Genomic DNA, 21,655 nt, shown 5'->3' with positions numbered 1-21,655 from the left:
CATTTCTCTGGGTCGCTCCCGGGCTAAGCGTCGGCAAGTTCTGTAGAGAAACTCGGGCAACCTTTGGTGAGCGTTGGGCCCATGGAGTGAACTGGGCGGCGGGAGACCTTGACAGAGATGTCATTTCAAAGCTGAAGAGACGGAGCATTTCTGAGAGTACAGCTTTAGAGCCCGACACACTTGGAGTTATTCTCCTCTCCGGGCCTCTGTTTTACTGGTGTGAAGTGAGCTTGAGTCACAGCCACCTCAAAGATTGTTTAGGGGATTGGATGATATCACACATGCACAGCGCTCATACACTGTAGGCGCCCACTACAACCCACTTAGCAAGACAGAATCCTTCACAGTTTGTTAAATTGCTTTCCTATTCTCCCTACTCTTCGTTTGATTTAATGATAGTCACTTACCAGGCCCCCTTGTGAGTTTAGCCCAGGACTATGCTTCCGTAGCTTACCATTGCCATCCATTTGTTTCACAAGTAGGGAAACTGAGGCCCAGAGAGGGGAAGGGATTTCTTGGAGGGTTTGTTTGTTTGTTTGAGACGGAGTCTCACTCTGTCGCCCAGACTGGAGTGCAGTGGCACGATCTTGGCTCACTGCAACCTCCGCCTCCCGGGTTCAACCGATTCTCCTGCCTTAGCCTCCCGAGTAGTTGGGATTACAGGTGTCCACCACCACGCCCGGCTAATGTTTGTATTTTTTAGTAGAGACGGGGTTTTGCCATATTGGTCAGGCTGCTCTCGAACTCCTGATCTCAGGTGATCCACCCGTCTCGGCCTCCCAAAGTGCTGGGATTACAGGCGTGAACCACCGCGTCCGGTCTTGTTTGTTTGTTTGAGACAGAGTTTTGCTATTGTTGCCCGGACTGGAGTGCAATGGCGCAATCTCGGCTCACGGCAACCTCCGCCTCCAGGGTTCAAGCGATTCTCCTGCGTCAGCCTCCCGAGTAGCTGGGATTACAGGCATGCGTCAGCACGCCCGGCTAATTTTGTATTTTTAGTAGAGATGGGGTTTCTCCATGTTGGTCAGACTGGTCTCGAACTCCCGACCTCAGGTGATCCGCCCGCCTCGGCCTCCCAAAGTGCTGGGAATGCAGGCGTGAGCCACCGCACCTGGCGTTTGTTTGTTTCTTGAGACAAAGTCTCGCCCTGTGGCCCAGGCTGGAGTGCAGTGGCACTATCTCTGCTTACTGCTCCCTGGTTCAAGAGATTCTCTTGTCTCAGCCTCCCAAGTAGTTGGGATTTCAGGCGCGTGCCACCACATCCGGCTAAGAACAGACAGGGTTTCATCATGTTGGCCAGGCTGGTCTCGAACTCCTGGCCTCGTGTGATCCGCCCACCTCGGCTTCTCAAAGTGCTGGGATTACAGACGTGAGCTACCGCGCGCAGCCGATTCTTTTGAATTCACTGCTACAGCTCAGGCAGAGCCAGTACTGGGCCAGTGCTAGGCAGGACCCAGATCTCCCGACTCCCAAGAGGAGTTAATTGCGGGGGTGGGAAGAGGTCCAGGGAGGGGACTTGTCTCAAGTACATGCAGGTCCTGACCTTGAGTCACCTAAGTGGGGGGCGTGGCGACCGTCACACCCAAGGCCCCGCGGTAAGGGGACACGCATACACCACAGCCTAGACTCCCTGACAGACCCTCTCTAGTTGTTGCAAGTTAGGGAGCGGGTATCTGGGCGACCCTGGAGGGCAGAGATTGGAAGGGGTTACGGAGGGGCCGTTTTGGCTCTGGGTGGAGACATCTGACTGTGATGGGGGTCGTGATGGACGCCATCGAGATGTACACAGTCGGAATGGAGGGTTCTGTTGCCGCTTGGAAGGAGGTATCCGTCCTGAACGTGAGATGAGGGAATTCTGGTTTTGATCAGGGGAAGGAACTTATAGACTGCGGGGGTGGTGGTGGGGGGGCGGGATTTCCATTTGGGATCACGAGAGAGCACAGTTGAGATGTAGATCCCTGGTTGTCACTAGAAGTGAGGGACAATCTAATGGAGGAGTGCCCAGGACCAGATCATATAAGGCCTGGGAGTTTACTGGGAGACGGGAAAGTAGTGATTGTGTTACTTTGCCACGGGCAACTAGGGGCAGTGGTGATGTGGGCGTCTAGCTCGTGATCAGGAGGGGGCTGTAGTTTATGAGATGAGTAGTTACAACTACTCGTGACGTGGCGCTACATGGCCCCGGTGGCTTGAGTCACGGGCAGGAAGTAGGGACCTGGAACCGGGTACCAGATACAGCCCAAGAGGCGGCGTGCTCTCGCTCTGCGCAAGCGCAGCACTCGCGAACCAAGATGCTTCGGTTGGGGGCAGGTCAAGCGGCCCAGGAAGGGCGGGGCTTGGAGGCCTCGTTCTGCGCATGCGCCGAAGGGGCGTGGCGGTCGCACCTGCGCGAGTTGGGGGAAGGAGGAGGGGCGAGGTGACGCAGGCGTAATAATAGAGAAGGTGCCAGAAAGATCCAAAACAAGTGGCTGCGGCCGTCGCCCAGGAGTCATCGGACGCCAGAATCTGGTGAGGATCCAGAGAGGCCTAATGGTGACTGGTGGCGGGTAGACAGGACCACCTGGGCTCTGGGGAGCGGGCGGGGCCGCCCTTGCAGGGCGAGGGGGTCGGGTTCGGACGGTACCACCTGTGTGGAGCAAAGGGGCTGCCTGGGTCGCTCCTCTGTGTAGGGGGCAGAGGGTCACTTTCGGGAGGTACCACTTGCGTAGAGCCGGGGGACTCATCAGACGGTACCGCTGGACGGAGAAAAGGGGCTCGTCTGGGCAGTCCTACCCAGAGTCAGGGGCAGTCAGCAGGGAGCCCCGGGGTGGGCCCCGAGGCTTGTTTGGGCCGCATCGTTTGGTCAGGTCCGGAGGCGAGCTCCGAACGTAGCACGGTGGTGGGGGCAGAAGCCGAGCGGGCTCCGGCGTCCCGACCTGTTCTTAGGGGACCTCGGGCGGGACCATTCCCTCCCGGGGGAGGGGGAGGCCGAGGCGGTTGGGGGTGCGGGAGCGGCCCTGCCCGGCGCGATTGGGCGGGGGAGACGCGCTGGCGGTGTGGGGTTCGGGCCTCCGCGTCGCTGACCACTGCCCCCTCCCCGCTGTGTGGGTTCTAGGCCGGGTTCTGAGCTTGTTCCGCCTCCCTCCCCCGGGAATGGCGCTATCCGGGTCGACCCCGGCCCCGTGCTGGGAGGAGGATGAGTGCCTGGACTACTACGGGATGCTGTCGCTTCACCGTATGTTCGAGGTGGTGGGCGGGCAACTGACCGAGTGCGAGCTGGAGCTCCTGGCCTTTCTGCTGGATGAGGCTCCTGGCGCCGCCGGAGGCTTAGCCCGGGCCCGCAGCGGCCTAGAGCTCCTGCTGGAGCTGGAGCGCCGCGGGCAGTGCGACGAGAGCAACCTGCGGCTGCTGGGGCAACTCCTGCGCGTGCTGGCCCGCCACGACCTGCTGCCGCACCTGGCGCGCAAGCGGCGCCGGCCAGGTACGGTTGAATGGGAGGGTGTCACACTTCCTGGGAGGAAAGGGCCTGGCTCCCGCTGGGCCTCCCTGGTGCCCTGATACGGACAGTGCCATATCAGGCAGCTTATGTCCCATTCTGCTACTCTCTCTTCCCACAATATCAATGAGCAACATAAGAGGAAGAAAGCATGGCTTTGGGAATTTGGCCACATCAGTGATGATGATTTTGGCCACTGTTTACGGAGGGCTTGTTTCATGCCAGGCACAGCTGTCAGCCCTTCATATGAACTAGTGCCTTATAGTCTCCCAGTAATCTCACAAGGAAGTCCTGTTACTGTCTTCACTGTAACCAAGAAAATAACAAGTTCAGAGAAGTTAAGCAGTTTGCACGTATAATAACAATCCTGTTTGCTGGGCCTAGGAGGGATACAGGATGATGGAGCTGACAAGGTGTTTGTTCCATGAAGTTTAAGTTTAGTGGGGGCAATCAGATAATAAGAGAACTTATTTTTAGACGCTGTTGTAGGAAGACTAAAAGTAATGGAATAGAGAGAGTCAGGAGAGCAGCAAGGTGAAGGGAGGCTTTGCCCTGAGGCTGCACTGCCAGCCATGCATAGACCCCAGGGGAGAAAATCCCAGGGAGCATCCAAGGCCTGAGGTGGGAATGAGTTTGGCATCATCAGAGGCCAGTGTGGCAGGAGCAGAGGGGACCCAAGCTAGGGAAGAGAGGGAGGTAAGAAGTTATGTCATGAAGGGGCTTGCAGAGAACGTAGCTGGGAAGTGTGGGAGCCAGGATTCAAACCTAGCCAACTTGTCCCCAGAGTTGATGCCCTTAATCCTTGTGAAGGAAGTGCTCCTGGAGGATAGCAGCCTTCACATGAGAAGCTGGGAGGGGTTCAGGCTGCCGGTAGCCGTGTGCATGAATAGACCAAGCCTTTGTCTGGGTTACTAAAGGGGCAGTGGCTAGTTTGGGGAGGGGGGATTATGGCCTTCCCTGACCCAGAGTAAGCCCACAGGATTTAGATAAGCAGGAGAAGGACAGCTCTAGGGAAGAGCTGACAGCATTTTTGGATATCTATGTCTGAAGATCACGCTCTAGAAGAGAAGATTTGGGGAGCCTGCACAGAGGCCTGCTTACTCCTTGGGGAGAGCTGGGGGCAGTTGATGCCAGGGCAAAGGGCCATTACAGGGACCCTTACCATGACTATCAACAGAATAACCTTGACAGTTTGAGCTGCCGTAGACGTGGGTTAGATTGCCCCAAGTCGTGATAAGTTCTCTCTCTTAGGAGGCATCTGAGCAACCTCTGCAGGAGGTGTTTGAGAATGAGTGGGTATTTGGGCTCTGACTACTGGGGAACTTAGGCACCTCGTGGTGCAGGCATTCTTCCAGGGGTGGGAATTAGGGCCAGGAGGCTGAATGCTTCTTCCTGTTCTTCTCTTCCTCCAGTGTCTCCAGAACGCTATAGCTATGGCACCTCCAGCTCTTCAAAGAGGACAGAGGGTAGCTGCCGTCGCCGTCGGCAGTCAAGCAGTTCTGCAAATTCTCAGCAGGGTCAGTGGGAGACAGGTGAGCCCAGCTGGGTGGGTGTAATGGCAGCATCCCTCTTTTCCTTATGAATTGTGCCCATCAAGGAAGGGGCCTGAGGGGTTATTCTGTCTCATTTTCACTGTGTGTGTGTGTGTGTGTGTGTGTGTGTGTTTATTGCTACAGATACTCTGTTCTGAAGCAACATACAGAATTGTTGCACATAGTTTCGTGTTTCGTTTAAATGGCATTACATTGTGGGTATTACTCTGCACCTGGCTGTCTTTGCTAGATGTGTCTGAGATTTATTCATGCTGAGTATCTCTAATTGTATTATTTTAATTGCCATGCCCCAATTAACTTATTTATTCTCACCACCCCCAGTTTTTGTTTTTTTCTGTTTGGCTTTTTCAAGATAGGGGCTTGGTCTGTCACCCAGGCTGGAGTGCAGTGATGAAATCATAGCTCTCTGCGGCCTTGAACTCCTGGGCTCAAGCTGTCCTTCCACCTCAGCCTCTCAAGTAACTAGAACTACAGGGGTATGCCACCATGCCTGGCTAATTTTTTCATCCTTTATAGAGGTGTGGTCTCCCCCTTGTTGTCCAGGCTGGTCTTGAACTCCTAGCCTCAAGCAGTCCTCCCACCTCAGCCTCCCAAAGTGCTGGATTACAGGCATGAGCCATCATGCCAGCCACCTCTAGTTGTTGTTGTTGTTTTGAGGCAGAATCTCATTCTGTCACTCAGGCTTCGGTGCAGTGGTGCAATCTCGGCTCACTGCAACCTCTGCCACCCAGATTCAAGCAATTCTCCTGCCTCAGCCTCCCAAGTAGCTGGAACTACAGGCGCATGACACCATGCCTGGCTAATTTTTTTGTATTTTTAGTAGAGATGAGGTTTCACCATGTTGCCCAAGCTGGTCTCGAACTCCTGGCCTCAAGAGATCTGCCCACCTGGGCCTCCGAAAGTGTTGGGATTACAGGCTTGAGCCACTGCGCCCTGGCCACCCCTCTTTTTATTATGTGAAATTTCAAACATACAAGTTGAAAGATTAGTACAGTTAACATCTTCCACTTAGGTTCAATAATTGTTAAGATTTTGCTACTTTTGCTTTATGTGTATACGTAATTCTGGATTTTTTTGTTGAACCCTTTGAAAGTAAATTACAGACATCAGGATGCTTTACCCCTAAATTAGGCATCCGTGGAGAATAAGGATATTCTCCTGTACCACTTTAAGACTATTATACCTAAGAAAATAAACACGAATTCTCTGACATTCTAATGGTCCATTTTCAAAAATCCCCAGACTGTGGGACCGTTCAGAATCTATTCATAGTTGAGTTGGTATGCATTCAGTTGTTATGTCTCCTGCTATAGCACAGAAACTGCCCCTACACCCCATACCTTTTTCTTTTTCCTGTAACATTGATTTTTTCACCCTAGCAGGCCGGTTGTTTTGTAGAATGTCCTGATTGTTTCTTTATCTGTCTGTTTTTTTCCTGATGGAGTTATGTAACTCGTCCCTCTTTCCCTTACATTTTTTGTTAAATGGGAATTGTGTCTGAGGCTTGGTTAGATTCAGTTTATACATCTTTAGCAGGAATAATCCTTGGTTGCTGCCATCTAGTTCATATTGGAGTACATCTCCAGGCATGTACGGCCTGGCTTTTCCGATGTGGGAAAGTTTGGTCACTTGGTTAAGGGGATATCTGCCATGTTTGTCCATTGTGAAGGGACATTTAGTTCTCATGGTTAGTAAACAGTCTATGGGGTGATACTTTGGCATATCCTGTTCCCTAATAGCCATTTACTCAGTGGGTTTCACATCTATGAGCTTTGCCTGAACCAGTTATCACATTGGTGTTTGCAAAATGGTGATTTTTCTAATTCTTTTTCTTTTTTCTTTCTCTTTCAAGAGGTATTCCCCCAATGCCCCTTTGAGTTTGAGTGTCACTATAGACCCATACACTATTTACTGACTTGTTACAGTCAGTCAGTCTTCCTGCAGTTCCAACTGGCTAGCCTCTTGTGTCTTCTTCATGTGTTTGTATCATTCTTTGTGTGCTTCCTGCTTTGTGGCACTGCAAGATGTCCTGGGCTGACTTTGAACTTTCCCTTCCGCACCCTAGAATCAGCTGTTTTTCAAGGAAGCTGTGGTATTTAGAGACCAAAACCTGGGTGTTGAGTGTGTATATTGTTCTAGGTTCTTTCAGTGAACAGTGTTAGAGACTTGACTTTTCAAAAAGTTTCTGTTAGTATTTTAAAGATTAATGTTATAGCCATGTTTGGTGGCTCATGCCTGTAATCTTAGTGCTTTGTGTGGCTGAGGCAGGAGGATTGCCTGAGGCCAGGAGTTCGAGATCAGCCTGGGCAATATAGTAAGACCCTGTGTCTAAAAAGATAAAAAACCTAGCCGGGTGCAGTGGCTCACACCTGTAGCCCCAGCAGTTTGGGAGGCTAAGGCGGGTGGACTGCTTCAGCCCAGGCATTTGAGACCAGCCTGGGCAACATGGCAAAACCCTGTCTCTATAAAAAATATAAAAATTAGCCTGGCATGGTGATGTGCACGTGTAGTCCCAGCTATTCAGGAGGCTGAGGTAGGAGGATTGCTTGAGTTGGGAAGGTGGAGGTTGCAGTGAGCTGAGATCATGCCACTGCACTCCAGTCTGGGTGACAGAGCAAGACCCTGTCTCAGAGAAAAAAAAAAAACGAGCCGGGTGTGGTGGCATGCCACTGGACTCCAGCCCGGGCAACAGAACGAGATCCCCACTCTAAACAAAGAAACAAAAACATCACAAATACTTTTTTTTGAGATGGAGTCTCACTCTGTCACCCAGGCTGGAGTACAGTGGCGCCATCTCAGCTCACTGCAACCTCTGCCTCCCAGGTTTAAGTGATCCTCCTGCCTCAGCCTCCTGAGTAGCGGGGACTACAGGTACACACCACCATATCCAGCTGATTTTTGTATTTTTAGTAGGGACGCAGTTTCACCATGTTGGCCAGGCTAGTCTCGAACTCCTGACCTCAGGTGACCTGCTTGCCTTGGCCTCCCAAAGTGCTGGGATTATAGGTGTGAGCCACTGCTCCCAGCCAGACTTTTTAATTAATTAATTTATTATTATTATTATTATTATTATTGAGAAAGAGTTTCACTCTTGTTGCCCAGGCTGGAGTGCAATGGCACAATCTCGGCTCACCGCAACCTCCGCCTCCCGGGTTCAAGCGATTCTCCTGCCTCAGCCTCCTGAGTAGCTGGGATTACAGGCATGTGCCACCACGCCCGACTAATTTTGTATTTTTAGTGGAGACAGGGTTTCTCCATGTTGGTCAGGCTGGTCTCGAACTCCCGACTTGAGGTGATCCGCCCGCCTCGGCCTCCCAGAATGCTGGGATTATAGGTGTTAGCCACTGCACCCAGCCCCAGCCAGACTTTTTTATACTAAAAGTCTTTCCTCTTAATAACATTAAGATGTGGGTTTGTTTGATTTATTTTACAACAGTAATTAAATAGCATCAAAATAACAAAGTCAGTACAACTGCTGACTGTATCTAGTGAATGAAACATAGATTTTATTTGTGTTTCTTGTTCTCTGAGCATATCCCATTGAGATTTTACAGTCAGAATGTTCTTCAAGTTACTTGAATAATTGTTTCATCTGAGTATTCCTGTTACCAATTATGTATACAATCCCCTCCCTCCCTTCCTCCCTCCCTCTCTTCCTCCTTCCCTCCCTCCCTCCCTCCCTCCGTCCCTCTCTCCCTTCCTTCCTTCCTTTTCTTCTCCCTTCTCCCTTTGAGGGTCTAGCTCTGTTTCCCAGGCTGGAGTCCAGTGGCGCAAACACTGCTTACTGCAGCCTAGATCTCCTGGGCTCAAGCAGCCCTCCCACCTCAGCCTCCCAAGTAGCTGGGACTACAGGCACGTGCTACCACACCCGGCTAATTTTTTTACATTTTATTTTAATAGAGACGGGTTTTTCCATGTTGCCCGGGTTCCAGGTTGGTCTTGAACTCCTAGGGCGTAGGCTGGGATTACAGACATGAACCACAACATCCGACCAGGTTCATTTTCTTCTGTTTGTGTTTAATTTTTTTTTTTTTTTTTTTTTGAGACAGGGTCTCACACTGTCACCCTGGCTGGAGTGCAGTGGCACAATCTCGGCTCACTGCAGCCTCCAGCTCCTGGGTTCAAGCAATTCTCCTGCCTCAGCTTCCCCAGTAGCTGGGATTACAGGTAGGCGCCACCACGCCCAGCTGATTTTTGTATTTTTAGTAGAGACAGGGTTTCAACCATGTTGGTCAAACTGGTCTCGAACTCCTGATCTCAAGTGATCCACCCACCTCGGCCTTCCAAAAGTGCTGGGATTGTAGGCGGGAGCCACACCGTGTGCGGCCTATTTGTGTTAATTTTATGGTTTATTTCATTTTAACTTTTTAAGTGTGTAAATCAGTTATATGAGTCAAAAGTCAAAACTAAAGTGTGGGGCTGGGCTTGGTGACTCAATGCCCATAATCCCAGCACTTTGGGAGGCCGAGGCGGGTGGATCACTTGAGGTCAGGAGTTTGAGACCAGCCTGGCCAACATGGTGAAACCCATCTCTACTTAAAATACAAAAAATTAGCCGGTTGTCGTGGCAGACACCTGTAATCCCGGTTACTTGGGAACCTGAGGCAGGAGAATTGCTTGAACCCGGGAGGCGGAGATTGCAGTGAGCCAAGATTGTGCCATTGCACTCCAGCCTGAGCAACAAGAGCGAAACTCGGTCTCAAAAAAAAAAGTATGAAAAGTATTTTTAGACATGTCATTTCTACTGCTGGGTGCCCCTCACCCCCAATTCATTCATTTCTAGTCTGTGCTTCTAGTGTTTCATTTTGCAGATATATATAATCTTAATTTCCCTCCTTATGCAAAGTACAGCACACTGTAGACACTTATTTTGTATCTTGCTTTATTTCCTTAAACAGTCTATCCTGGACATCTCCCTATATTCCTGTTTCTTCTTGCCAGATATGTTGTTCTCAGGTTTTCATCATGATAAACAATGCCCTGGTGGCGGTTGTCGTGTGTGTCTCCTGGTGTAAGTGTGCAGGGATTTCTCTAGGGTCACATCACACCTGGAGTGAGCCTGCTGCAGCGTGCTGGGGTGTACTCATTTGCCCTTCTAGATGATGCTAGATGGTACTCTTCATCTTTTAGACAGGGCCACTGAAGAAGGGAGGCAGACTGGCTCACTCAGGGTCTCAGCACCGAGAACACCTTGAGTTCTTTTCCAGGCATACACCTGGGCACTCTAGCTGTCATCCTGGTCCTCAACTTGCCCCATTTTTTTCCCCTCAGGCTCCCCCCCAACCAAGCGGCAGCGGCGGAGTCGGGGCCGGCCCAGTGGTGGTGCCAGACGGCGGCGGAGAGGGGCCCCAGCCGCACCCCAGCAGCAGTCAGAGCCCGCCAGACCTTCCTCTGAAGGCAAAGTGACCTGTGGTAGGTGTCTGTAGGCTTTGGCAATGCATGTAGAGTGCCCCGGGTGGGTTCAGAGGGTGGGAGAAATGAGCATTTTTCTGGGGGATGTGACACACTTGGCAGATGGGTGTCAGCTCTCGTTCACCACAGTGGAATTCTTGTCCTTTCTCTCGCCATCTTGCCTGTCTACATCCTGTCCATTGTTGAAGGATCAGATCTTGTGCCACCTCCTTCAGGAAGCCTTTCCTGACAACCCCCTGCCCTAGTTTCATTTGTGTATTCAGCAAACATCTGCCGGGGTTTACTTATTCAGACATTTCTTGTGCAGTGGCAGCATATCACGGGGTAAAAAAACAACGATCCTGGATCAGGCTGCCTGATTTACATCCTGGTCTTGGCACTTAAATAAGTTGTCTGACCTCAGGCCAGTAATTGAACCTCTCTGCCTCAGTTTCGTTTCTTTTCTTTTCTTTTTTTTTTGAGACGCCATCTCCCTCTGTCTCTCAGGCTGGAGTGCAGTGGTGTGATCTTGGCTTACTGCAACCTCCGCCTCCTGGGTTCAAGCAGTTCTCCTGCCTCAGCCTCCCAAGTAGCTGGGATTACTGGCACCCACTGCCACGCCCAGCTAATTTTTGTATTTTTAGTTAGTAGAGATGGGTTTCACTATGTTGGCCAGGCTGGTCTTGAACTCCTGACCTCAAGTGATCCACCCGCCTCAGCCTTCCAAAGTTCTGGGATTACAGGCGTGAGCCACCGCACCCAGCCATCCACCTCAGTTTCCACATCTGTAAAGTGAGGCTGATAATCACCTCCCTGTTTGGATTGTTGTGAGAAAACAAATTTACCCACAGTATGCCTGGAGCAGTGCCCAACCCGGCACACGCTGTACGAGGGTTTGTTCTCACTGTTGCTGTGCAGTGTGCCTGGGGCAGGAGTGCTGCAGCAAGGTTCCCGGCTCTTGTGGAGCTGACCTAGTCAGGTGACCAGTGAAACTGAAGATCATTTTAGACAATGATAAGTGCCACCAAGAGAGGGTGGGAGCAGGTGGAGGAGCCAGGCTGGGGCCGGAGCAGCTTGGCCTCGCGGGCCACGGCAGGGATGACAGTTTGGATTTTATTCCATGCGCCAGGCACTGGCAGTGGGTTTTGAGCAGGAGGGTGACGTGATGTGATTCCTCTTCAGGGAACTCTAACTCCATCTGGAAAATCAGTTAATAAGCAAGTTAGGGTTTTCAAAGTGTTTAGGATGCACTGGGCTTCTAGTAGGTGCTCTGCTAGGCATGTGTTACGTAGATTAAATTAATCGCTTGAAGAGGCTGTGAGGTCTGTGGAGAAGGACTAGGCAGAGGTCTGGCCTGGGGGTCGTGTTGGAGAGGGTGAGGAGAAGTGACCTAGGAAATAAGGAAGGGCACTGGCCATAGGGCTGACTGTAGACACGATGGGTTGGGTGGGTTGGGGACTCTGCTGTGAGACTACTTTGACCTTGCTCTTGAGAAATTCCACTTGGTCATGTGGGGAGGACACAGCAATGAGCACCGCCTCAACTGTAGTACTCCTTTCTCTAGTTGGGCAAGCTTGGGAAACACAGAAGGGATCAGATATGGTCTTCGAGCTCTCAGGCTGCAGGGAAGACAGATGAGGGAAGTGGCAGCCAGGCTGATGTGACAGGTGGCACGGGTATTGTGAGTGCAGGGGCTCTGGGGTGTGCAGGGAGTCTCCTGGCCAGCCCCAGTTTCCTTGTGGAGGTGCCATGTCTAGAACAAGCTCAAGGAAGCTGGAAGAGGAGCTGGGAAGGGTGATTCTGGCAGAGTGACTCATGCGTACAACGTCCCCAGCCGGATGTGGTCAGGGCTGAGTCTGTCTGGAGCAGAGGCTTTGTGGGTGGGAGCAGGGGGAGATGAGGCAGGTGGGGGGCCTTGGTTTGGATTTTATTCTAGGGGGTGGTGGGTGAGGGAGCCATGGAAGGGTTTGTTAATTCCTTCATCCAGTTTTTATTAGGATCATCTTTATGCCAAGCACTGTTCCAGGCACGGAGGGCTCAGAATTGGACCAGGTGAAGAAAGTCCTCAGCCTCCAGGAGTTTACGTTATAGTGGGCAAGACAGATAACTCGAAAATAAGCCAGCGTAGCAGACGGCATCAGCTAGTGACAAGTGCCCTAATGAAACATGAGGCCAGGGGTGGTGCCGAGCCCCTGCAAAGGGCTGAGGCTGCTGAGGGAGGGGAGGAGGCCCCTGGGGGGAGTGGAAGGGTTCAGGGGAGGAGGCCATTGTGGAAGCTGGAGGTCAGAAGACCAAGTTGGAGCTGGTGAGATGCTGGCATGTCCTGTCTTCTAGGAGACCTTGGCCTGGGGGTGCTTCCTTCTACCATCTGCAGAGCTTTCTCCAGCCCACAAAGCACGCGCACCTGCCCCCTCCTAGTGCCCATAATGGCCCTCCAGGGAGTGGGCATCATGCCTGCTTTGTAGATGAGGCAGCAGATAACCTGTGCTGGGTGCTGTCAGAAGGAACAGACCTAGAGAGCCAGCCCTGGGTCCTCAGGCAGCTATGTGGGCTTGCGCGGCAGGGTTTGAGGGGGTGGTTGCCTGGTGGTGACTCCCCCTCGAATCAGCCAGTAATTCCCAGAGCCACCAGGCTGGCTGGGCAGGTGAGGGAGTCATTGCCTCAAGGAAGATAGGAACAGGCCAAGGGAGGCTTCAGGTCTCTTTCCCGAGGCGAGGAGGTCGTTAACCAGGGCTTGGCTAGGTCTTGATGGGAGATGGGTGAGCAGGTCTGACTGCTGACTCACCAGGCAGGGTGGGGCTGGAGTGAGGCTCTCCCCATCTGGGCTCCTGTTTTTCCCTCTGAAAAATGGAATGGCTTACTTTTTAGAGAGGCCGAATGCCAGAGGTGGAAGGAGGCCTGACTGAAGAAGAGGCCTGCTATTCTTGACTCTTCCTCACCTGTGATACCTGTGACCCCCAGCCAGCTGCCCTCCATTGAGGGATAGAACTAGACAAACTCTCGACTGCCTGAGACAGTGAGGAAGGACACCTTGGTGGTCCTAGGGTTGGACACAGGACATCTGAGCGACCATGTGCCTCTCAGGGTCTGTGGTGGGCACTACTCGGCCCTGAATTCTCAAGACAGCCATTGAGGTGGGATGACATCTTGCAAAGGAAGAGGCACGATCAGGGAAAGGCGGTCACTAGTCTGAGTGGCAGGGGGCAGAGCTTGGCTGAAACTTGGGTTTGTTTATTTGTTTATTCCATATGTATTTATAGGGTATTTACTATATGCTAGGTCAGCCGGGGTGGGAGACCTTGCCCTCATTGAGCTTGTGCTGTGGTGGGAGAAAGCCAAGAGAGAGATTTCAGATGTCAGGGGAAGGGTGTTCCCGATGGAGAGGACAGCGGGAGCACAGGCCCAAGTGGGATGTGCCAGTGCTCAAGGGCAGCGTGGAGGATGGCAAGGAAACTGACAGGAATGGAGGAGTAGGGTGGAGACCCCTAGGAGGTGAGGGCGGGAGAGGGAACCAGGGCAGATCCTGCAGGGCCTGGGCTTTGCATTTTTTTTTTTTTTATTATGGAAAGCAGTTGGAGGATTTGAATGACAGGATCAGCTTTGCTTCTCCCCTGCAATTTTTTTTTTTTTTTTTAAATTATGAGACAGGGTCTCCGTCGCCCAGGCTGGAGCACAGTGGCGCAGTCTCAGCTCACTGCAGCCTCCGCTTCCCAGGTCAAGTGATTCTCCAACCTCAGCCTCCTGAGTAGCTGGAACTACAAGCGTGATCCAGCATGCCTGGCTAATTTCTGTGTGTTTTTTTAGAGGCAGGATCTTGCCCTGTTGCCCAGGCTGGTCTCGAACTCCTGAGCTCAAAGCGATTCACCTGCCTTGGCCTCCCAAAGTGCTGGGATTACAGGCATGAGCCACCGCCTGGCCCCTGCAATTTTTTCTATGGAAAATACACCAAAGTAGATAGACTAGCTTTAGCCATTGTCAACTCATGGCTGATCTCATCTTAGGATAATTAGGAATTTTGGAGTCAATTCTGGTTGCCCTATGATCTCATCTGTAGATGTTTCACTGTGTATCTTGAAAAGAGATTTTTTTTTTTGAGATGGAGTTTTGCTGTTGTTGCCCAGGCTGGAGTGCAATGACGTGATCTCAGCCTACCGCAACCTCTGCCTCCCGGGTTGAAGCGATTCTCCTGCCTCAGCCTCCCGAGTAGCTAGGATTACAGGCATGTGCTACCACACCCGGCTAATTTTGTATTTTTAATAGACAGGGTTTCTCCATGTTGGTCAGGCTGGTCTCGAACTCCCGACCTCAGGTGATCCACCCGCCTGGGCCTCCCAAAGTGTTGGGATTACAGGTGTGAGCCACTGTGGCTGGCCAAAGATAAAAATAGGGTTTCACGCCAAAAAAGATTAGTAACTCCTTACTATCAAATATCTGATCGGTGCTCAGATTTTCAGTTGTTTTATAAATGTAGGTTCTCTGAAGTCTCTCCTTTCCCCTACCATCTCTCTTTCTCCGCCTTGCGTTGTATTTTTCTAAAGCAGTTGTCCTGTGGCATTTCCCGAAGACTGGATTTTGCTGACTGTATCCTGCAGTAGGGTTGATTCAGTGTGTTCTACCCTGTCTTTTGTATTTCCTGAAGATGGGTAGTGGGGTCTGGAGAGGCTTGATCAGATTCTGGTTTGATGTTTTGTTTTCCTCAATCCCGCTTCTGAGGGTGTGTTGTGCGCCTCCATCAGGAAGCAGGTGATGGCTGCTTATCCCTCTCTGGAGTTGGAGGCAGCTTCTCCTCATTGCCTCAATTCAGTAGGAGTTGAACTCAGTAGGAGTTGAAAAACTTTCCATTTGACATGATGATGCTGGCTTTGTTGTGGAGAAGAGACGAGGGAGGCAAGCCAAGATGCTGGGAGGGTTCCCACCATTGTCCAGAGGGGGCTGGTGCTGGTCCTGGTGTGGGGGCGGGGCGGGGGTGGGGTCTCTCCACTGAAGCACCTTGGCTGCCTCTCTCCAGCAAGGCCGGAAGCATCTCCCAGTGTTGTGGGAGCACAGGTCCTCTTCTTCCCCAGCCCATCTTTGTTAGTTCATTTTTGTGTTGCTATAAAGAAATACCTGAGACTGTGTAATTTGTAAAGAAAAGAGATTTACTTGGCTCACGGTTCTGCAGGCTGTACAAGAAGCAGGGTGCCAGCATCTGCTTCTGTTGAGGACCTCCGGAAGCTTCCATTCATGGTGGAAGGCCAAGGGGAGCAGGCTTGTCACATGGTGAGAGTTGGGGGGTGGGGGAGCTGCCACACTCTTAACCAGCTCTCACGGGAAATACCAGAGCAAGAACTCACTCATCACCAAGGGATTCATGAGGGACCCAGCCCCATGATCCAACACCTTCCATGAGGTTCCACCTACAATGTTGGAGTCACATTTCCACATGAGATTTGGAGAGAACATACATCCAAACCTTATCACCACCCAACTAGGAACTCTTAGAGAGACGACTTGAGTGAGGTTCATCTCTGGGCTCCCAGACACACCCAGCCCAGGGCCTGCTCCCTTGAACTTCACCCTGGTCCCCCACTGAGAAGCCCATTTCACTTGATGTCCCATTTGCCCCAGAAGAGAGACTGGTGAGGTGGGGGTGGGGGACAAGAGGGTGCTGGGCCCACCTGAGTGCAGGAAGCAGGAGCAGCTCTCCTCTCTAGGAAGGCATGGCACCTGCCCCCCACCCTCCCAGGGACAGGGAACTTTTCCCCACAGCTGCCAAAATGGAAAAGATGCAGCCAGCCCACGGTCCAGCGCACATGGTGCTGGGTGCTCTTCCTGCCTGCCACCTCAGGGCCACACTGGACAGTTCCTCCACTTCTCTCCATGTCTACTGCTCCCATCCTGGACAGCCATTTGTGACCCTTCCCCTGCCTGCTGCCCTGGCCCTGTTTCTACCCACCTGCCACTTCACAGCACAGCTGGAGTTGCCCCTAAGTTGGCAGGTCCTGCCTCCTGTCCTCTCTGCATGCCTGGCCTTCCTGGCCTCCCCTCTTTCCTTGCATTGAGCCTTGAATTCTCACAGTAACCCCACATGGGCGGATGTTAGGGGGAGCCTTGTTTTACACAGGAGGCCACCGAGGTACAGAGAGGTGTGGTCACTTCCAGAGGCCCTAGAATCTTGAGTCTGCTGGCGATTGGGATTGAGATCAGCCTCCCTGACCTGGCTGCCCGTTCTCCCTTAGCGCCCTTCTCCCCTCCACGTTCCTGCCACGCCGGCCCCTCAGCCTGTGCAGGCCTGAAGTTCATTTTCTCTCTGGACTTCCATAAATGCTCATCTCTCCTGAGAATGCCATTCTTTTTTTCTCTCCTGTTTTTCTTTCTAAACCTACTTGTCCTCCTTCACATTTTACTTCAGATGTCATTTCCTAGAGAGATCCTCTCTGATCCTTTCAATCTGAACTATAACTCGCCCTGTCTAATTTTCTCTGCTGGCTCTCAGGATGTCTTTTAGTTGTGTATTTGATGTGTATGGTTCTGTGTGAGGTAGCCAACAGGATAGGGGTAGTTAAGAGCTCGGGCACTGGAGCCATACACGTGAGGTAAAATTCCAGCTCTGCCATTTCCTATCTGGTGGCCTTAGGCAGGTGACTCAACCTGTGTGCCTCAATTTCCCCATCTGCAGAAAGGGAATAATAACAGCATCACCTGATTGTTGTGGGGACAATCAAAGGGGTCAGCAGATGTGAAGTATGTAGTACCGTGCCAGCCTGTAGTAAAAGCTATAGGCAGGTGTCACCTGTTGTGATTATTTTGGGGAGGGGTAAAGCACGTGATTGGGTGCTAAGGGTGGAGCAGAGGCTCAGAGAAGCCTCGCCTGCTCCTATTGCCTGGTGGCACCTCCCTGTCTTTTCCCTGTGCACCATGATCATGTTTTCCAGCTCAGAGGTGGGAGTGTGTGGTCTGCTGAAGGATTTGCTCATCTGTAAATGGGGCTGGTGAAAGTACTCTGAGGATTAGGTGGGCTGAGAGAGGAAAGCCCTTGAGTAGAGCCTGGCTTGTGGGGAGTGCTTCCTAACTGTGGGTTACATGTCTCCCCGTCCCACTTGTGGCAAGGTTCTTGTGTCACCCTAGCATGCCTGGCATTCATAAAATATCTGTTGAATAAGAGATTGAATGGGGGCATGGAGATTGCTCTGGCCTTGTCCCTGTGACCTGTCCACTCTGACATGGTGGGGGCTCTGGGTGGATTGAGAACTTATACCAGAGGTCCATGCTGGGGAGAAGGACGAGCTGAGAGAGGATTCAACTGGGCAGGATGTGGGGCTCCCACGAGCTGAGCCTTGGCAAATGTTCTGGATGGAGGAGGTGGACAGGTCATTTTGTAAGTAAGGCTCTTGTTGGGAACATTTTCTTGTGACTGGAGTGCAGGGTATGGGGGGACACGGCAGGGACTGGAGGAGTCCAAGGAGGAGGTTGGCTTAGGGACCCGTGAGAGAGAGATGAAGGCCTGGGTGAGGGCCATGGGTGTAGGGAGTTGGGTGTCGAAATTACAGTTCCTGTTTCTGGGAGCCTTCTTTGTCGTAGGGCTGTAAGCAAGCATTTTATGAGTTGCCTCATTTAATCCTTGTGACTTCAATGTGCAGCAGGGACCTCTTGTTTGTTTGTGTTTCAGATGGGGAAACAGGCTCAGAGAGGTAAGGTCACATGCCCAAGGCCCCACAGCTTAGAGAGTGGCAGAGCTGGGACTCACCTCAAGGTCTGTTGGACTCCGCCACCTGGCCCTGCCTCTGTGGCCAACCACTCCTGGGTGGCCTGGAAGAGGTGCTGCTCCTCCCAGCCCCCTGCTCTCCCACCCACATTGATTGAGGTCATGGCCAGTTGCTTACTGGAGTCAAGGATGCAGTCAAGGATCTGGTCGTCTGGGTAGAGACAGCTGGGTCTGAATGCCATGGGAGGGCCTGGGGGCTGAGGCTGGGCAGGCTTCCCTGGGCGTTGGGTGGAGAGGATGGGGTTCCCCTAGAGCCAGAAAGAGGAAGGGTTTGGGGTGGAAGGAGGAAGTGGGCAGGGCTGTGAAGTTGTCTTGGGGAGCAGGGGCCCTGCATTCTCCTTTCTGCTCTGTGGCTGACATGGTCTGTGAAAGTTGAAGGGAGCCACAGCATGAGACATTCCCTCCCAGAGCCTTGTTTCCTCATCTGTCAAGTGGGCTGAAGGTGGCCTCTGCCCCACAGGGCTGATTCTACTGCATCCCCAAGGGTCAGGCAATTGGCCTATCAGAGGGGTTGGTGGCTGCCATTCTGGGAGCACCCCTTGGACACTGTGTGCAGTGCTAGCTTGTTCCTTTCTATCCATTGCTCTCTTTTTAATCCTCTTAACAGCTCCTCACAGTAGGAATTGTCCCCTTGTTTAGGCAGGAACCCATGCTCAGAGAGGTTGTGACTTGTCACAGGTCACACTGCTGAAGGCTCCTGTGTGGGAATCCACTTCATTGATTGAGGAGCCTTCTCTCAGGGACATAGGAGGTTAAATGACCTCTGTCAGGCACTGCCATTGTCTGGCCGTGTGACCTTGGGCAAGTCACTTCACTTCTCTTGGCCTCCATTTTTTCATCTGTAAGTTGGGGGTGATAATAGGACCTGTCCCACAGGGTCATTTATAGGTTAAATGAGTTTCTGTGATTCAAGCACTTGGCGCCTGGCAGATAGTCGGCACTCTGTAAGTGTTGGCTGCTGCTGTTTCTGGCTCACAGCTGATCCTCAGGACAGCCTCGTTGGGTGTGTAGAGAGAGGGGGTACTGTCACTAGCCTAAGTGATGGGTGGGAATTCAGAAATTCTGGAAGAGAGGTGGTATGTGAAGTTCATGATTACAGGATAGCCTTAGAAGTCCAGTGTCCTGTCCCCTGTACACAGCTGCCACCTCTTTTGCGCAGATGTGGGGAGAGTTGTGACAGAAACCGACTCAAACTGGCTTCAGCAAAAAGGGGAGTTGAGTGTAGCTGAAAATCCAGCTACGATCGTGGGCTCATGTGATGACCTCAGGAATCTTTTTATCTCTGGGGCTGGCCCTGCGTAGGCTTCCTTCTCTCCTCTTGGCACAGTGGCTCCCAGCAGCTCTGGGCTTCCAACCCATCATCTTAGCAGCTCTGTGGCAAGAGAGTACCTGACTCCCAGTAGAGCCAGCACAGGTCCAGCCGCAAGCCTCCCGGGCCTGGTCAGGACCCTGCGCATCCGCAGTGCTGGCTCAGGTGGATGGGAGGGATGGGGATGTGGTTGGCACCATGTGAATCTCATTGTTTGGGGGCAGGGTGTGAGGCTGGTTGCCTTAAGGCAAGTCCATTAGTTCATGCATTAGTTCTTCACAAATACATATTGAACACCTACTATGTGCCACAGTTACACAAGTGAACAAAACAGACAAAAACCCCTTCCTTGCTGTCATCTGTCTCTCCATGCTGAGTGTAGAGACAGATAATGAGCAGATAGTAACTGACAGAGGAGGTTGGAAGGTGATAAGTGCCTTGGACAAAAATGGAGCAGGGTGTGGGACCTGGCATGCTGCAGAGAGGGCTGGGTGGGTGGTTACAGCTGTAAATAGGTTGGCCTAGGTGGGCCTTGTTGGCAAGGTGGCTTTTGAGCAAAGACCTGCAGGAAGAGAGGGAGCAAGTGTTGTGCAGATCCAGGGAAAGAGCACCCCTGGCGGTGGGGAGGCTTGTTGGAGCAGTGAGGAGGTGGTGGGCTGGAGAAGAGGAGGACGTACTTGGTCAGGGAACCCCACAGAGCCGGGGAGGCTGTGTCAGGACTAGGGTGTGGCTACCGGAAGGGGGTGGAGGGAGAAGGCTGGAGGGAGGAAGGGTGGCGTTCCCCATAAGTGTGTCTAGTGTTGGCCCCCTCCCTGACAAATCCCTCCTTCCCCTGCAGACATCCGGCTCCGGGTTCGAGCAGAGTACTGCGAGCATGGGCCAGCCTTGGAGCAGGGCGTGGCATCCCGGCGGCCCCAGGCGCTGGCGCGGCAGCTGGACGTGTTTGGGCAGGCCACCGCAGTGCTGCGCTCAAGGGACCTGGGCTCTGTGGTTTGTGACATCAAGTTCTCAGAGCTCTCCTATCTGGACGCCTTCTGGGGCGACTACCTGAGTGGCGCCCTGCTGCAGGCCCTGCGGGGCGTGTTCCTGACTGAGGCCCTGCGAGAGGCTGTGGGCCGGGAGGCTGTTCGCCTGCTGGTCAGTGTGGATGAGGCTGACTATGAGGCTGGCCGGCGCCGCCTGTTGCTGATGGAGGAGGAAGGGGGGCGGCGCCCGACAGAGGCCTCCTGATCCAGGACTGGCAGGATTGATCCCACCTCCAAGTCTCCGGGCCACCTTCTCCTGGGAGGACGACCATCTCTACCCCTAGAGGACTGTCACTCTAGCATCTTTGAGGACTGCGACAGGACCGGGACAGCAGGCCCCTTGACAGCCCCTCCCACAGGATGTGGGCTCTGAGGCCTAAACCATTTCCAGCTGAGTTTCCTTCCCAGACTCCTCCTACCCCCAGGTGTGCCCCCTTAGCCTCCGGAGGCGGGGGCTGGGCCTGTATCTCAGAAGGGAGGGGCACAGCTACACACTCACCAAAGGCCCCCCTGCACATTGTATCTCTGATCTTGGGCTGTCTGCACTGTCACAGGTGCACACACTCGCTCATGCTCACACTGCCCCTGCTGAGATCTTCCCTGGGCCTCTGCCCTGGCCTGCTTCCCAGCACACACTTCTTTGGCCTAAGGGCTTCTCTCTCAGGACCTCTAATTTGACCACAACCAACCTGGGCTTCAGCCACATCAGTGGGCACTGGAGCTGGGGTGCACATGGGGCCTGCTCACCTTGCCCACACATCTCCAGCCAGCCAGGGCCCTGCCCAGCTTCAATTTACAGACCTGACTCTCCTCACCTTCCCCCCTGCTGTCCAGAGCTGAACATAGACTTGCACTTGGATGTCACCTGGAGTGTCACATGGGAGTGTTATGGCAGCATCATACCAAGGCCTACTGTTGCACATGGGGCCAAAACCAGTAAACAGCCACCTTCTTGGAAAGGGAATGCAAAGGCTTTGGGGGTGATGGAAAAGACCTTTTACAAATGATACCAATTAAACTGCCCTGGAAAGGGCATAGGTGGGCATCGGCCTCTCTAGGACTCTTTATTTATTATTTAATTTAAATTTTTTTTTTAGAGTTGAGGGTCTTGATATGTTGCCCAGGCCAGCCTCAAATTCCTGGGCTCAAGCGATCCTC

The 21,655-nt window shown here is 52.6% G+C and overlaps 1 protein-coding gene across 16 annotated transcripts, besides 10 other annotated features; it reads left to right on the top strand.

Moving 5' to 3' along the window:
• DEDD2 (death effector domain containing 2) lies at positions 6-21,542 on the top strand. 16 transcript variants are annotated; one of them, XR_007066647.1, is made up of 7 exons: positions 6-66; positions 2,311-2,508; positions 3,095-3,460; positions 4,888-5,007; positions 10,300-10,440; positions 18,068-18,151; positions 20,311-21,542. XR_007066647.1 is itself a non-coding variant. In XM_017026402.2 (7 exons), the coding sequence occupies exons 2-7, from the start codon at positions 3,133-3,135 to the stop codon at positions 20,700-20,702; spliced, it is 1,101 nt and encodes a 366-aa protein (XP_016881891.1). In that variant the 5' UTR covers positions 6-66; positions 3,095-3,132; the 3' UTR covers positions 20,703-21,542. The 16 variants fall into 16 exon arrangements, 8 of the variants coding, with proteins under 8 accessions (XP_016881891.1, XP_047294270.1, XP_047294271.1 ...); XM_017026402.2 differs by lacking the exon at positions 2,311-2,508 and adding an exon at positions 15,581-15,678 and having other exon boundaries at positions 18,068-18,089; XM_047438314.1 differs by lacking the exon at positions 18,068-18,151 and adding an exon at positions 15,581-15,678.
• Positions 352-1,227: an enhancer, noted in NCBI's record as "H3K27ac-H3K4me1 hESC enhancer chr19:42723065-42723940 (GRCh37/hg19 assembly coordinates)". NCBI's record gives its function as "activates a minimal SCP1, AML or CMV promoter by ChIP-STARR-seq in naive and primed H9 embryonic stem cells {active_cell/tissue: H9 hESC(naive and primed)}" and the evidence as "EXISTENCE:reporter gene assay evidence [ECO:0000049][PMID:30033119]".
• Positions 1,228-2,104: an enhancer, noted in NCBI's record as "H3K27ac-H3K4me1 hESC enhancer chr19:42722188-42723064 (GRCh37/hg19 assembly coordinates)". NCBI's record gives its function as "activates a minimal SCP1, AML or CMV promoter by ChIP-STARR-seq in primed H9 embryonic stem cells {active_cell/tissue: H9 hESC(primed)}" and the evidence as "EXISTENCE:reporter gene assay evidence [ECO:0000049][PMID:30033119]".
• Positions 2,876-2,975: a silencer, noted in NCBI's record as "silent region_10690". NCBI's record gives its function as "represses an Ori minimal core promoter by ATAC-STARR-seq in GM12878 lymphoblastoid cells {active_cell/tissue: GM12878}" and the evidence as "EXISTENCE:reporter gene assay evidence [ECO:0000049][PMID:35858748]".
• Positions 2,986-3,045: a silencer, noted in NCBI's record as "silent region_10689". NCBI's record gives its function as "represses an Ori minimal core promoter by ATAC-STARR-seq in GM12878 lymphoblastoid cells {active_cell/tissue: GM12878}" and the evidence as "EXISTENCE:reporter gene assay evidence [ECO:0000049][PMID:35858748]".
• Positions 3,127-3,332: a silencer, noted in NCBI's record as "fragment chr19:42720960-42721165 (GRCh37/hg19 assembly coordinates)". NCBI's record gives its function as "represses an EF-1alpha promoter that drives an FKBP-Casp9 reporter gene in an ReSE screen in K562 erythroleukemia cells {active_cell/tissue: K562}" and the evidence as "EXISTENCE:reporter gene assay evidence [ECO:0000049][PMID:32094911]".
• Positions 17,964-18,043: an enhancer, noted in NCBI's record as "active region_14706". NCBI's record gives its function as "activates an Ori minimal core promoter by ATAC-STARR-seq in GM12878 lymphoblastoid cells {active_cell/tissue: GM12878}" and the evidence as "EXISTENCE:reporter gene assay evidence [ECO:0000049][PMID:35858748]".
• Positions 18,164-18,373: an enhancer, noted in NCBI's record as "active region_14705". NCBI's record gives its function as "activates an Ori minimal core promoter by ATAC-STARR-seq in GM12878 lymphoblastoid cells {active_cell/tissue: GM12878}" and the evidence as "EXISTENCE:reporter gene assay evidence [ECO:0000049][PMID:35858748]".
• Positions 20,291-20,540: an enhancer, noted in NCBI's record as "active region_14704". NCBI's record gives its function as "activates an Ori minimal core promoter by ATAC-STARR-seq in GM12878 lymphoblastoid cells {active_cell/tissue: GM12878}" and the evidence as "EXISTENCE:reporter gene assay evidence [ECO:0000049][PMID:35858748]".
• Positions 20,740-21,276: an enhancer, noted in NCBI's record as "H3K27ac-H3K4me1 hESC enhancer chr19:42703016-42703552 (GRCh37/hg19 assembly coordinates)". NCBI's record gives its function as "activates a minimal SCP1, AML or CMV promoter by ChIP-STARR-seq in naive H9 embryonic stem cells {active_cell/tissue: H9 hESC(naive)}" and the evidence as "EXISTENCE:reporter gene assay evidence [ECO:0000049][PMID:30033119]".
• Positions 20,741-20,900: an enhancer, noted in NCBI's record as "active region_14703". NCBI's record gives its function as "activates an Ori minimal core promoter by ATAC-STARR-seq in GM12878 lymphoblastoid cells {active_cell/tissue: GM12878}" and the evidence as "EXISTENCE:reporter gene assay evidence [ECO:0000049][PMID:35858748]".

The sequence above is a fragment of the Homo sapiens genome, chromosome 19 (genome assembly GCF_000001405.40).
Source record: "Homo sapiens chromosome 19, GRCh38.p14 Primary Assembly".
Classification (NCBI taxonomy): domain Eukaryota; kingdom Metazoa; phylum Chordata; class Mammalia; order Primates; family Hominidae; genus Homo; species Homo sapiens.
This window is presented reverse-complemented; position numbering and strand designations above follow the sequence as displayed.